This window comes from Homo sapiens, chromosome 18 (assembly GCF_000001405.40).
Source record: "Homo sapiens chromosome 18, GRCh38.p14 Primary Assembly".
Taxonomy (NCBI): domain Eukaryota; kingdom Metazoa; phylum Chordata; class Mammalia; order Primates; family Hominidae; genus Homo; species Homo sapiens.
In genome coordinates this window covers 13,862,568-13,876,277 of record NC_000018.10, presented here as the reverse complement: position 1 = coordinate 13,876,277, position 13,710 = coordinate 13,862,568, and the positions used below count along the sequence as shown (strand labels likewise).

General features: G+C 46.2%; 1 annotated feature.

Moving 5' to 3' along the window:
* Nucleotides 3,271-4,109: an enhancer, noted in NCBI's record as "H3K4me1 hESC enhancer chr18:13872168-13873006 (GRCh37/hg19 assembly coordinates)". NCBI's record gives its function as "activates a minimal SCP1, AML or CMV promoter by ChIP-STARR-seq in naive and primed H9 embryonic stem cells {active_cell/tissue: H9 hESC(naive and primed)}" and the evidence as "EXISTENCE:reporter gene assay evidence [ECO:0000049][PMID:30033119]".

The window sequence follows — 13,710 nt, the reverse complement described above, 5'->3', positions numbered from 1 at the left end:
GTGGCAGAACCTGCAACAGCTCTCAAACCCTCATTGCCCAACAGCTCAGGCCTGACAAAGATGGTCTGCCCACACGTGGCCAGCATTCTGCTGGGAGAAGGGCTGGTCCTCACCATGCTCTACATAGTTACAGGATTGCAGGCAGAAAAATCTCTGTAGCAACGGAAGTTCCCTTGCACAGAGGCATCCTTGTGATCGGGGGCGTATTCTGAGCTCAGCGCTGTTGTCTGTCGGCTCCTGGGCTAAAGCAACAAGGTTCCCCACAGGGTTACCACGAGCAGGGAAGAAATGGCTAGATCTGTCTCCCATCACAGAGGAAACTCTGGGAACAAATATTCTTTCTTCAAGGTTCAAGTTAACCATCTCTCTTAGGAGAAGACATGGATGTTGCCTGGGCCTTTCTTTTCAAATTGTTGAACAGTTACTCTCTCAGTGCAGGTTAAAAAGGCAGCTCAAGAGCACAGTGTGGACAAGTGTCCAAGTGTTGACAGTTGATTAGTGCAGGGCCCTGGCATCAGCTTCCGCAGCCCCACCCCTGGGGTCTTGCTGGACCACGTGTGGGCTGAGAAGGTCTCTCCCGTTGGGGCTGTGGGCCCCCTGGCCAGTCAGCATGGAGTCTCTTTCCTCCTGGACTCCGTCCTGGTGGCCACCTGACCTTCTAAGAAGGGGAGAGGGAGTTGGGCATGAGAAATGCAGCTCCTCTTGTTTGGAGACAGGCCCAGCACGTCTTGTACTGCACTGCTTCTTAGGAGAAGAAAGAAGTACAGAGTAGGCTGTCAGGGTTTGGCTGCCAGCCGCCTGAGACCCTTGGGCGAAGGCTCAGCACCTCGGTTTCCTCACACATGAAATGGAGATAACCATAGAACCTTCCTCTTTTGTTTACTTTGAGGATTAATCCTTTTAGAGCCCTTGGCAAACATCGCACACTCAGTAAGTGTTGACATCCTCAAATAAGGGCCCAAATTGAACACACTGTATGGGTGAAAACATTTTTCATCCTGTTGGCAAACAATCTCAAAGCTTCACCTCCATCTCCGAGACCCAAGTGTCACTACCCACTCACCATCTGCAGAACCTCCTCCACAAGGAGGAATACAGCCAGGGGTCCTGGCTATCTTGCTTTTGCCGTCGAGTTTAAGAGTGTGACTCTCAGCATTCAGACTACTTTCAAGACAAATGTCATGTGCAGTTTGTTTGTTTTAATTTTATTTTTTAATAGTAACATATCACATGATATTTTAAAAAGCACTGTGGAGTCTTTCTCACTGCTGTTCCCATCACCAACTTGCCAACCTTCCCACCTCCCACGGGTAATGATATTTATTTGTTGCTTGTGTGTCCTTCCAGATTCTGTATGCATATATAAGAAAATGTAGATTATATATATATATTCTTGTCGTACCCTTTTTTACACAAATAACATTTTTTCACCTTGTTTTTTTCACTTCTCAACATATCTTGGAGACCTTTCTGCATTAGTATATAGAGAACTTTCTCATTCTTTTGTACAGCAGCATACTACCCTCTCGTGGAGATGTGCCATAAGTTATTTAACCTCAGAGAGGTGAACTGGGTCGGTAACACCAGAATTCCACCATAGTTATATCTATACATTATTTCTAATCTATATATGTGCAAATATTTATTCTGCATTTATAATTAATTACTCCTGCCTCTTGCCGTATTCTGTAAAGGAAGACTGCCAGACCTAATAGGGTACTTCCTACATGGCTGGCACTAGTCTAAGCCCTGTCATATAGAAATTCATTTGATCATTCTAACAACCCTAGACATGGTACTGTCTCCATTTAGAGATGAGGATATGAAGGCAGAGAGAAGTTAAGTAACTTGTCTAAGTCATTTAACTGCCAAGTGGCAGACCTAGGATTTGGAGCTAGGCAGTCTAGCTGCAAGTCTATGTTCTTTTTTTAATTTGTATTTTAAAAATTTTTTGTAGAGACAGGGTCTCACTATGTTGCCAAGGCTGGTCTTGAATTCCTGGCCTCAAGGGATCCTCCCACTTTGGTCTCCCAAAGTGCTGGGATTATGGGTGGAAGCTACTGTGCCAGACCAGAGTCCATGTTCTTAATTACTATGTATATATCTCACCTCTATATGTCAAAACTATTAACAGACTCAATAGAGTCCATCTTATTTTGATGGATTGTTTTCTTTTAACCTAATCTTCTTGATTTTACATAATCCTGAATCAGAAAATCCATTAATTCTCCGGTCCAGGTGGACCCAAAAAACATTTGCAGTCACACTTGCAAAAAAAAATTAATTGGAAGACCATTAGACTGAGGCAGACCCAGGGTTTTAGGTTCCTCTGTAAGCAAACCGAAGCCCAACATAAGGAGTAAAATGAAACTAGAGACTTTGGCAACTGGAAACCACCAACTGACCTCTAACTAGGGGCTGTCACTACCTAGTCAAAGCTGTGTTCCTTGTATTTCTTCCACAAACACCTCTCACCGTCTCTCTCTCCACCCTGCAGTGGAGTGATACCCACTTACCACCCAGTACTGTGTGATTCGTGAATCGATGTCTGCTCAGATAAACTATAAAATCCAATATGCCTAAGTGTATCTTTTAACACCATCACGATATCTAGATTGGCAGACAAGGCAAGTGCAAGCCTGGAAGGCAGCATGAGCAAGGTCTTTCCTACATAAGAGAGATGCTCTGCACACAGTCACTTATTACAATGTCTGCTTTCTTAAACGTTTAATGACAGAAAAATATTCATAATATCTTAAGTGACAAAAGAATCAATAATATAAATACATTTGTATGAAAAATATCTTCCTGTACTCAAACCTGTAAGCATCCATGCCCACACTGGCACCCACTTTCATTCCCATGCCTCTCCCCTTGCTCATCTCCAGACCTATGTCTATATCTGTTTATATCACAGAAACCAGCTAGGTGCTTGCCTAACCAGCTCCCTTTCCTTCCTGGGCACACTGTATTTTCCAGGCTCCCTTGTGGTTGGATGCAGCCATGTGTCCAGTATGGCCAGGAAAAGGTGGTCAGAATACCTATATACTTAGCTCTCTAAACCTCTATTCCCTTCTCAGCTGCCAATGCTGAGGAACCAGAGTGAAATTCCACACCCGGGGTGCGATGGAGCCACCCGAAGGCAGGAGGCTGGGTCCTGAATGGCTGCATGGAGGAGAGGCCCCTCCTCCCCTTTCCAGCCCTCCACACTGGACTGCAGCAGGGGACAGAAATCACGCTTTGTTATGTGACGTCCCCAGGACCTAGGGGCTGTTTGTTAATTAATTGGGCTGTCTTAACTAATAGGCCTAGAATAGGAACACAACAAAATGCTAGTAGCATATATCTGCATTGTGGGATTATGAAAGCTTTTATTTTATTTTGTATTTTAATGTTTCTTTCTAAATTTACCACAATAAATTAGTGTTCATTTTTGTAATAAAAGCACCTGTTAATGTTATTAAAACGGTTTTACTTTCTAATCAAAACTTACTTTCTTCATTTGATTGTGTTTGTTCTTAAAATTTCGTCTTAAAATTCAGAGGAAACTCAGTGTCTCATTCTTACATCTGTGTTCTCCCCAGTTGTCTGCCAGAGACTAACCCTTTACTGAAATGATGAGCGGGGAGGGAATGGGACCTGAGGCGGGCTGAGCAGGAAATCCCCGCTCCACAGGCCATGCTGCGCTGTGCAGTGGCGGTGCAGGGGGGCAGCTTCGGTCTGGGCATCACCGAGCCCACATGCAGCAGGCCCGGCACAAGCTGCACCAGATGCATCCGGGGTGCAGATCCGTGCTGCGCGCCTTCCCTCTGTCACCGTGGCCCTTTTTTCTTGGTTGGATTGCACATGGGTTCTAAAGTACACAGCTTGCTTCCTTAGTGAAAGATGAGTTTTGCAAATTGGCAGATATTCTTTCGGTTGTGACTCCCCACGGGAGGTAGGTTCCCGTCCCGTGTTCCCTGAGGATCCGGCACACCCACACCTCTCGCTGTCTGGAGGAGAGTGCTCCATGGAGCTCTGAGACGAAGTCCTGAGGATTCTCCTGGAAAGAAAAGTCACCCCAAGATGCTCCTTGGGCTTGAAGGATAGTGGAAGGAAGGAGAAGGGAGAAGTGAAGATGCTGTGACTATAGACAGGTGTCTGTCGCTTAGGTAGTCCCTGACACACCCTCTCCATAGCTGTGCCCTGGCCACAAGGCGAGGAGTGAAACAAAAGGGCAAACAAAAACCTTTCTTCCCTCTCACTCCCTCCTCTTCCTTTTCCTCTCCCTTTTCCTCTCCATGGAACACCGACCGATTCCTTTAGAGGAAAGCAGCGGGACCCAGGTGGCGCCTCCCTCAGGATTCCGCTCTGGGGAGAGGAGGTGACTGCAGGCTGTGCCCAGATGGTCATCAGCCGGCGTGGTGCCCAGACTTCGGTGGGGACCGGCAGCAGAACCACTCCCAGCAGCGCGGGCATGTCCTGCAGAGGAGCCTGAGGGAAACACAGATGCCAGCACCAGGCCCTGAGAGTCCAGCAGGCCCTGGGGCCACTCTGAGCAGCTGAGGGTACGAGCTAACTGTACCCAAAGAGCCCACAGCCAGCCAGGGAAGTTCTATTCTCTGGTTATTATGGTGATTTAAAGACTTCTGGATTGGCTTGATCTGGAAAACACAGTTTAAGTGTTTGAACATTCTCAGCCGCCAGTGGCCCACAGATGTTTAACCAGCTGTGAATTTCCTATTTTGGGGGCTGAATTAAGTTGCTAGTGGCAAGCTATTTCTGCAAGCTCTCTGCTTTTCTTCTGACTCCTTTTACGTTTTCTTATAATATAAGGCAAAAAGAGTTGAGAATAGAGAGACAGAAGTTCCATAATGCTGATTTATGTTAGGCAATTTGTTACTGGCTCAATCCTAGGCTTTGAAAATAAAAGAAATAGAAAACACTGATTAAAATGAAGGTTTCAAATCACCTGTGCCTTTCTTTCATTCATACTATCCCTGACATTTTTTAAGTGGTAGAAATGTTTCTTATATGTGGAAATTCAATAAATAAGTCAGATAAAGGAGGAGACTTCTGGCTGAAATGGCACAGGTCCTGGCTCCCGGGGCTGCCCTGGCTCTGGGAGCCCCCTTCCCTCACATTCCCAGGGCTGACTGGACACAGTTTTAAAACATAACATAGAAGGTTGGCGATTGAACATGCTCCCTTGAGTATACAGGAGGAAAAATAAAACAATAACAAAAACGTGATCAGGGGAAACCTGGTCTCCTTGGGGCCCAAAGGCTGCAATGAAGAGAGCATGGCTAGAAGGAAAGTCCTGAGTTCAAAACCCCATTCACTGCCTGCTGGGCCAGAGACCTCACACTTGCAGCAAAACACCTCGAGCTTCAGTTTGTCACCTGTAAAATAAATGCCGTTTTCTTATGCTGTAAAACAGTTGCTCATCTATGATTGTAGGGGTTAAATAAAATAAAATAAAATATGAAAGAACCCAACACATAGAAAATTCTCAACTAATAGAAATTTTGACAAGGATTTCAGATACAACTATTCATCAGCAAACCATTTGTTCAAATCCAGTCATTTCAGCCTTTGTATTTAGGATGCTGCTGGCATTAACAGATAAAAAGCCTGTGTTCCAGTGAAAGGCTGTAGGTAAACCCCTGGGATTCCATCTCGAGGATATGTGTCCCCATCAATCTGGTGTGCGGAGTAGGTGGGATGAGCCATCTCCCTTGGGAAGCAGAGCAGCCCAGGGCAGGGAATGGAGGGGCATGTTCTGGAGACATCTGCTGTGGGCCTCACACAGAGTCTAGGCATAAATGCAACATCTGTCCAGGAGAGTCACCGGAGTGGCAAAGCCTTCTAAACAAAAAAGTACTGAAAACAGCATGCCTCCCTGATAACCTCTGCTGAAAATGTCAACCAGAAACTTGTTTCAAATCAGCGATGGTGGTAATAACAACTTTTGGAAGGAATGCCAAGAGATTGCATCACCAGATGTGGCTTGCCCTTGTCTGGTAGCAACACTTATAGGTTTGAAAGGGAGGCCTTGAGACCCAGACAGAGGCTGACAGGAAGGGGGCTGCCACTTTCCAGCAGGCGAGGGGAGGCTTAGCCTGCATGTCCAGCAGCCTTGTGCCCACTGAGTGCAGGGAAACCTCAAGGGAAGCACATGTCCCTCTGCAGTCACTCTGTAGGGCCATGCCAGGAGACCACAGCTGATTCCCAGTGACAGGAGAATGAGCACTGCCAGTAACTGAGTAGGGGACAGACTCAGACACCAGCCTCCTCTGTGGCCCTGACCATCAAAGTCACAGGGACAAGGAGTGGCAGAGACAGAGGCAGCGACTACGACCATGACCAGGACACCCGTTGGTGCCAATTGACAGGTGTAGGCAGACACTCCTCTTCCCTGATCCCTTGATATCCCCTGGCATCTAGGTGCCACCTGGGAAGAAGTGGTGGTGAGGGGCAGGGCTCAGCCACTGGACCAAGTTTATAGCTGACATGACAGAGACATCGACAAATTGACAAAATCTTTCTGCAAAGAACCAGATTAAAATTTTACCTCGGACATAACAAGCATGCAATCCGAAATTAAGTTGTAGTTTTCAAAAAATTACAATTCTATACATCTGAGTAGCATGAAAGCCTGTAACTGAAATATTAGATCCGTGTAGCAGCCTGCAAATTATTGGGCTCAACACAGTGAACTGCCTAGAAAAGTCCAAAACAGAGTAATCGGGTGAGATAACTTGGAAGAGGATTTCTACATTAACTCTCCGCCCTCGGGAGACTGCACCGCAAAGAAGAAAAAGGCGGCGGGTGACAGGGGTGCTTGGTTGAGCAGTGACCACGATCAAACTCAGGGGCGTGGATTCCAGCGAGCTCCGTGTCATTGAACAAAATCGCCGCCGCCTCAGTCCTGTGTGGAGCTCCATGGTCTTACAGGTTTTGGCTTCTTAATTGAACAACGCTCAATGCCAATCCTGGGCCAGCAACATAACATTTCTCTCCCCAACCCTGTTTCTATGGAAGAGGAAGAGGCAGGCGCTAGAGCAGCCCTGCGTGGCGGGCGGGCGGGCGGATGGGCGGGAGGGGGGCGACTGGCCTCGGGGCTCTGGTCCTCTCATCCCCATCGTGGGACTTCGCAGCGTTCAGTTGCCGTCTGCTCTCCAGCTGAAAACTGATGCTAGTCATCCCGAACTCATGGGAGTGTTTGGAGGAAGTTCCCAGGGCCTGGCTGCCAGCACATAGGTGCAGGGCGGTTTTAAAATCCGCGTCTCAGCGAGGCCGGGGCAGTTCAGGTGAAGGAAGAGCTGATGGGCCGGGTGCCCTGCGCTCGCTCTCTCTGTTATGCGTCCTGCGGCGATGCCTGGTCAGAGCGCCGCATGGAGAAGTCCCTTTGGGAATATGAGAGTGTCCCAGTGTTCCGGGGTGGCGCGGGGCTGCCTGGCATGGCATGCCGCCGGCCCTGGCCGCCCTTCTGGTTCCCCCTCACACTCCACCGCTGCGCTCCTTACCCTGATGGGTTCGGTTGTCTTTTGGATGCATCTCCTTGCGCTTGTTTTCAAAGCTGCCCCTTTCTCCGCCCATCGGGCGGGTGACTGTGTCTCAGCTGCAGAGCGCAGAGCCCACACGGTCTCCGAGGTCCACGCTGAGCATCCTGGACTCCAGCTGATCGCACACAGACTCCGAGGCCCACGCTGAGCATCCTGGACTCCGCTCCGTGCTGCATTCTTGCTTGTGCGGTTGCCCGGGCCTCTGAGAGGGCCCATTGATTCACTGTGGTTTGATGGAAATGAAGAGTCTCCTTTCCTGTTAGGAAGGCAGGCAGGAGGAACGTGGCCAGCTCAGTCCTTCATCGCTGTCTGCGTCTCTGCTATGGCACCTGTCACTCCCCAGCGGGAGGTAGTAATTATCAAATAGAATAAAAATGTTGCCCGAGAAAATATTGCATTGCTTTGTACTTACGGTCTTGGTTTACAATCACCTTTGCATTTTGACCTAAACACCCCATTATTTACATGAACCAATAATCTATTTGCTCTACCAAGATTCTCATAGCTTCGAAAATTATAATTTACTATTTCGCTGCTACAAGAGGTAATCCAGCACAAACTTACTTGAAAGTACATTTTTAAAATGAAGTTTTTTGCTGGGTGCATAAAATTGATTTAGTTCACAGCCACACTTAAGACTGGTAGTGAAAATAAACTGACAGGAAATTAATTTCTGTCTCTACTGATCATGCTGCTTGACATTCAGTAATTAAATCCCACTGTTAACATAATCTCAAAGGACTGCTCCTTCCTCTCTTACCTAAACAGTCATGTTATTTCTGGTCCATCTGTTGCAGCAAAAAGTAAACAAAAAAACAGGTAGTGGAGAAGGTGGAAATGCCAGAATACAATATAGAAGATATAATTGCTTCTCTTTGTAAGAAGAACGCATTTTCTAAATTAAGCTGAAATGAATCATAGTCATGGGATCTCTGAATACGAAGTTTGAAGGGCTCTTCATTGGCCCCCTCCTCACTCTCATTGGATGTCTGATTCTTCAGCCTATTTCTGAATGTTTCTTAAAACATGCATGAGGAACTATCAGACTTAACATACGAAAGTGAGACAATGTCCTCAGTTTTTCATGACTGAAAATTCTGGTTTTCTTTACCAAATATCTGCTCAAAATTGGTCTCTGTCTCTCCTTTTTTTTATTTTTTTATTTTTTTTTTTTTTTTAAAGACAGAGTCTCACTCTGTCACCCAGGCTGGAGTACAGTGGTGCAATCATAGTTCCCTGCAGCCTCAGACTCCAGGGCTCAATCAATCCTCCCACATCGGCCTCCCAAAGCTCTGGTATTACAGGCTTGAGCCACTGTGCCCAGCTTAAATTTGGTCCTTTTGACCTTCAGTGACCATGACACTCTAGGTTTTCAACTAAAACACTTAGGTTTATAGAATCACAGGGATATTAGGGACCTTAGAGATTATTAACGAAAAATTCTTAATTTCTAAATAAGCAAGTCTGTTACGTAAACCACCAAAGATTCCATAATGTGTAACTTAAAGGCAGATAACTTCCTTGCCTCTATCCTGAGGCCTGGCTTTTCCTGAGGATGTCTCTCGCTAATTCAGGGAGGAAGAAACTCAAGTGAAGCAGGGGATGCCAAGTAGAGGGCTCTTGGTGTGTTCTGGTTGAGAGTTAGTGATGTCTTGGACCAGATGGTGGTGGTGGCGCACAGAGAAGTGGACATATTCAAAAGAAAGGGCAGAGTCAGTAGCAATTGGTGCCTGGTGGGTTATGTGGGGGTGGGGGGGAGTGGTGAGGAAGAGAGAAGAGTCCTGGATAATTAGAAAGATGGTGGGGCAGGGATTGTTTCACAGACAGAGGAACAGAGGAGGAAGAGCAAGCCTGGGAAGTCTATGGATTCATTGAAGCCGACTATATTTGTGGGACTTCAGGGAGAATGCCCATTCCACACCCGTATATTCAAGAATGAATCCAGTGGAAAAGCTTGGGTTGGAGATAAGTAGTTTGATGTCTTCAGATATAGGTAGAAATTAAATCAAAGACTTGATGAGATCATGCAAGGGGACTATATAGAGTGAAAAGACAGTCTGAGAACTTAGCCTCAGAAGGGACACAGCATTGCTTCTGCCATATTCTACAGGTTGGAATAGATACAAGCCAAGATGCAAAGGGAGGAACCATTCTTCAGTAAAAACATTAGGTGCAAAGTTTTAATTTCTTTCTCCAAATTAAAGAGAATTTTGCTAATTTCTCTATGCACAATTATTTAATGGTATATGATTTTGAGTACCCTTAAAAATATAAAATATGAATCCACCAGTCAGCTAGTGTTTCCCTGAATATGTACACAAACATGTCTAAGTTGAACACAGTTATGATTATAAATTCTGCAACTTACAACTTTTCTATAAGGCAACTTCAGAAAATATTCCTATATTTATGGTCAATTTTCAAGATTAGTTTATTTCTGCTCTTGAGTCACTAGATACTTGTTAGAAAATTGATTTTCCTTTTACCACTCCCCCACAGGAAATGAGTTCTCAAAAGGCATTTTTTTTTCTTTTTTGAGACGGAGTCTCGCTCTGTCGCCCAGGCTGGAGTGCAGTGGCACGATCTCAGCTCACTGCAAGCTCCACCTCCCGGGTTCACGCCTTTCTCCTGCCTCAGCCTCCTGAGTAGCTGGGACTACAGGCGCCCACCACCACACCTATCTAATTTTTTTTTGGTATTTTTAGTAGAGACGGAGTTTCACCTTGTCAGCCAGGATGGTCCTGATCTCCTGACCTCGTGATCCACCCTCCTTGGCCTCCCAATCAAAAGGCATTTTTTAAAATTATTCAGATTTGTTGGCCAGGCACGGTGGCTCACGCCTGTAATCCCAGCACTTTGGGAGGCCGAGGCGGGCGGATCACGCGGTCAGGAGATCGAGACCATCCTGGCTGACACGGTGAAACCCCGTCTCTACTAAAAATACAAAAAATTAGCCAGGCGAGGTGGCGGGCGCCTGTAGTCCCAGCTACGCGGGAGGCTGAAGCAGGAGAATGGCGTGACCCGGGGGGCGGAGCTTGTAGTGAGCCGAGATAGTGCCTCTGCACTCCAGCCTGGGCGACAGAGCGAGACTCCATCTCAAAAAAAAAAAAAAAAAAAAGAAATTATTCAGATTTGTTGATGATGAGTGGCTGGAGCTCCACTTAAGGGAAATTACCAAATCTCTGAGCCTTTAAGTCCTGTTTCTTTGCTGGTTGAAAGTGACTCTGGTGATGAAAATAAATAAAATGTATACCAAAGTTGAGCAAGAGCAAGTCCCCAGCCTTCTCCAAGAACCAAATACTGCCATGACTGCCAAAAGTGCTGGGATGGAGATTCATCCTGATGGCCCTCCATACTTGATCATCTCCGCGGGGCTCAGTAGCCTGGAGGCAGGCGTGTGAACAGCATGAAAGCTTGAAGTCAGAAAGAAGAATGGAAAGGCAGAAAAGAGGGCACATAGACTGACAAGGCTTTAGTGGTAACGCCAAGAAGCAGAAGGTCAGGCACGATGAGGTTGCCTGCATTTAGGAACAACTGTGCCATCTGTAGAGAAAGTGTGTGTTCTTGGCACCCAGTGCCCACACAGTAAAATCTTCAGTGTGTTTTTGCAGATGAGCACCATCATTCTCATGAGAGATCTTGGGAAAAAAATGCTGTATTTGTATAAAGTTGGCAAATCTACATAAGAGTCCCAGGCCCTCTTAGAAGTGTTGACCTCCCTAGGAAATAGGTGACTGTGTTCCCAGCTTGATCTCAGATGCATCATTCAAACCATACAGCATGAACATTTCTTCAGAAAATTCTTAAGTGAGAATGCTTTCCTTATATATTCTTACTTTTATTTTACCATGAGGAATTTAGCCTTTTTAAAAAGTTAGCAACTATGGTTAAATGTTTCCAAGAGATTTAATTCTTTCCTAAGTCTTGCTAAGATGTAAATATGATCAGTAGGGATATGGCTAGGTTAGAAGTTGGGATTGGTGACTGGTTTGAGAACCACTGGGAAATTCTGAGCAATAGCCGTTCAGATTCTAGCGGTCAGGGTTGAGAAAGTAAGTGTTACTTTGATTATAAAAATTCAGTAGAAGTAAACTTTTGCTTTCACAGTATCTTTTCACACAGGTTACTTGAAATGGAAAATTGGGAGGAGTCTATGCTTAAAAATGGTATTTATATTTTTAAAGCCAAGAAACTAAATAAACATTTTGGTTTTGCCATTACAATATTACATTAAGTTTCAACGAACTCTTTAGAAAATTATTTTCCAATAAGATTTATGTTCTTATAAATTCCAGTCTTAATTTCTCCAGCTTTGGGGCATCATCTTTCTTTGGGTATTTAATAAGACAGCACTAATCTCCCACCCCACATCCTGTGGGAAATCCAACACATTACAAACTTTCTAAGGGTTTTTGGAGAATTCCCATTCTTGTGGCCACTGCCGCCCTGAACCCTGGCTTTCCTGGATGCTCCACCTTCCTCCCCAGTACCCTTCCTGGACTTGCTTTTGTACCTGTGGTCACTGCCTCTTACTCCATTCACCAAAGCTGTGAGTGCAAGTCTGTTCCAGATTACTTGGGCCAAATGAGAAGTTTGACACCACAGTATAGAACAAGAAACTATTTAAAATTGAGTATTTGGGATCTCTATTTTCCTTGTCTATCTTTGTCATAAAAGGATATTTCTCATTGATCCACTTTCTTCTATGAATATAGTTTGCTACAATTTCCTAAATTCCACTCTCACCCTCCCAAGTCTGAAGCTTTCCCTTAACTGCCTTTGCCCTGGTCTAACCCCCACACCGCTCCACCCACCCCATGCCCCAGGTTGCCACTTGAAGCGTCAAAACAGTTGTGAATTTTATTGCGCAGATCATATCAGCAATCTTTTGCTCAACCTCTTTTTTTGACTAGCTCGAGTTCTGTTTTATTTTAAACGAAATCAAAAACAAAAAGAATAATATGGACAATGTAATGATCTTCTAAATAAACTTGCTTTCTATCCTGTATGGAAAAACTATTTCCCACACAAAGAACCAGCAGAGAGTATTTGAGGATTGCTGGCAAGATGGCCAAACAGCGCTGGTCTGCAGCTCCCAGTGAGATTGATGCAGAAGGTGGGTGGGTGATTTCTGCATTTCCAACTGAGGTACCTGGTTCAGCTCACTGGGACAAGTTGGACAATGGGTGCAGCACACCAACGGCGAGCCAACAGACGGGCATCACCTCACAAGGGGTCAGAGAATTTTCTCCCCTACTCAAGGGAAGCCTTGAGGCACTGAGCCTGAGGAACTCTGGCTCAGATACTGTGCTTGTCCCACGGTCTTCACAACCTGCAAACCAGGAGATTCCCTCTGGTGCCTACCCCATCAAGGCCCTGGGTTGCAAGCACAAAACTGGGTGGCCATTTGGAAAGACACTGAACTAGCTGCAGTTCTTTTTTTCCATACGCCAGTGGCGCCTGGAACCCCAGCGAGACAGAACCATTCACTCCCCTGGAAAGGGGTGCTGAAGCCAGGGAGCCAAGTGGTAGCTCAGTGGGTCCCACCCCCACAGAGCCCAGCAAACTAAGATCCACGGGCTTGAAATTCTCACTGCCAGCACAGCAGCAGTCTGAGATTGACCCCGGATGTTTGAGCTTGTTGGAGGGAGGGGTCTCTGCCATTGCTGAGGCTTGAGTAGGCGATTTTACGCTCACAGTGTAAACAAAGCCACTGGGAAGTTTGAACTGGGTGGAGCTCACTGCAGCTCAGCAAGGCTGCTGTGGACAGACTGCCAGATTTCTCTTCTATGGGCAGGGCATCTCTGAAAAAAAGGCAGCAGCCCCAGTCAGGAACTTATAGATAAAACCACCATCTCCCTGGGAAAGAGCACCTGGGGAAAGGGGTGGCTGTGGGTGCAGCTTCAGGAGACATAAGAGTCCCTGCCTGACAGCTCTGAAGAGAGCAGCAGATTTCCCAACACAGCATTCGAGCTCTGCTAAGGGTGAGACTGCCTCCTCAAGTGGGTCCCTGACCCCCGTGTATCCTGACTTGGAGACACCTCCCAGTAGGGGCCGACAGACACCTCATACAGGAGAGCTCTGGCTGGCATCTGGCAGGTGACCCTCTGGGACAAAGCTTCCAGAGGAAAGATCAGGCAGCAGTCTTTGCTGTTCTGCAGCC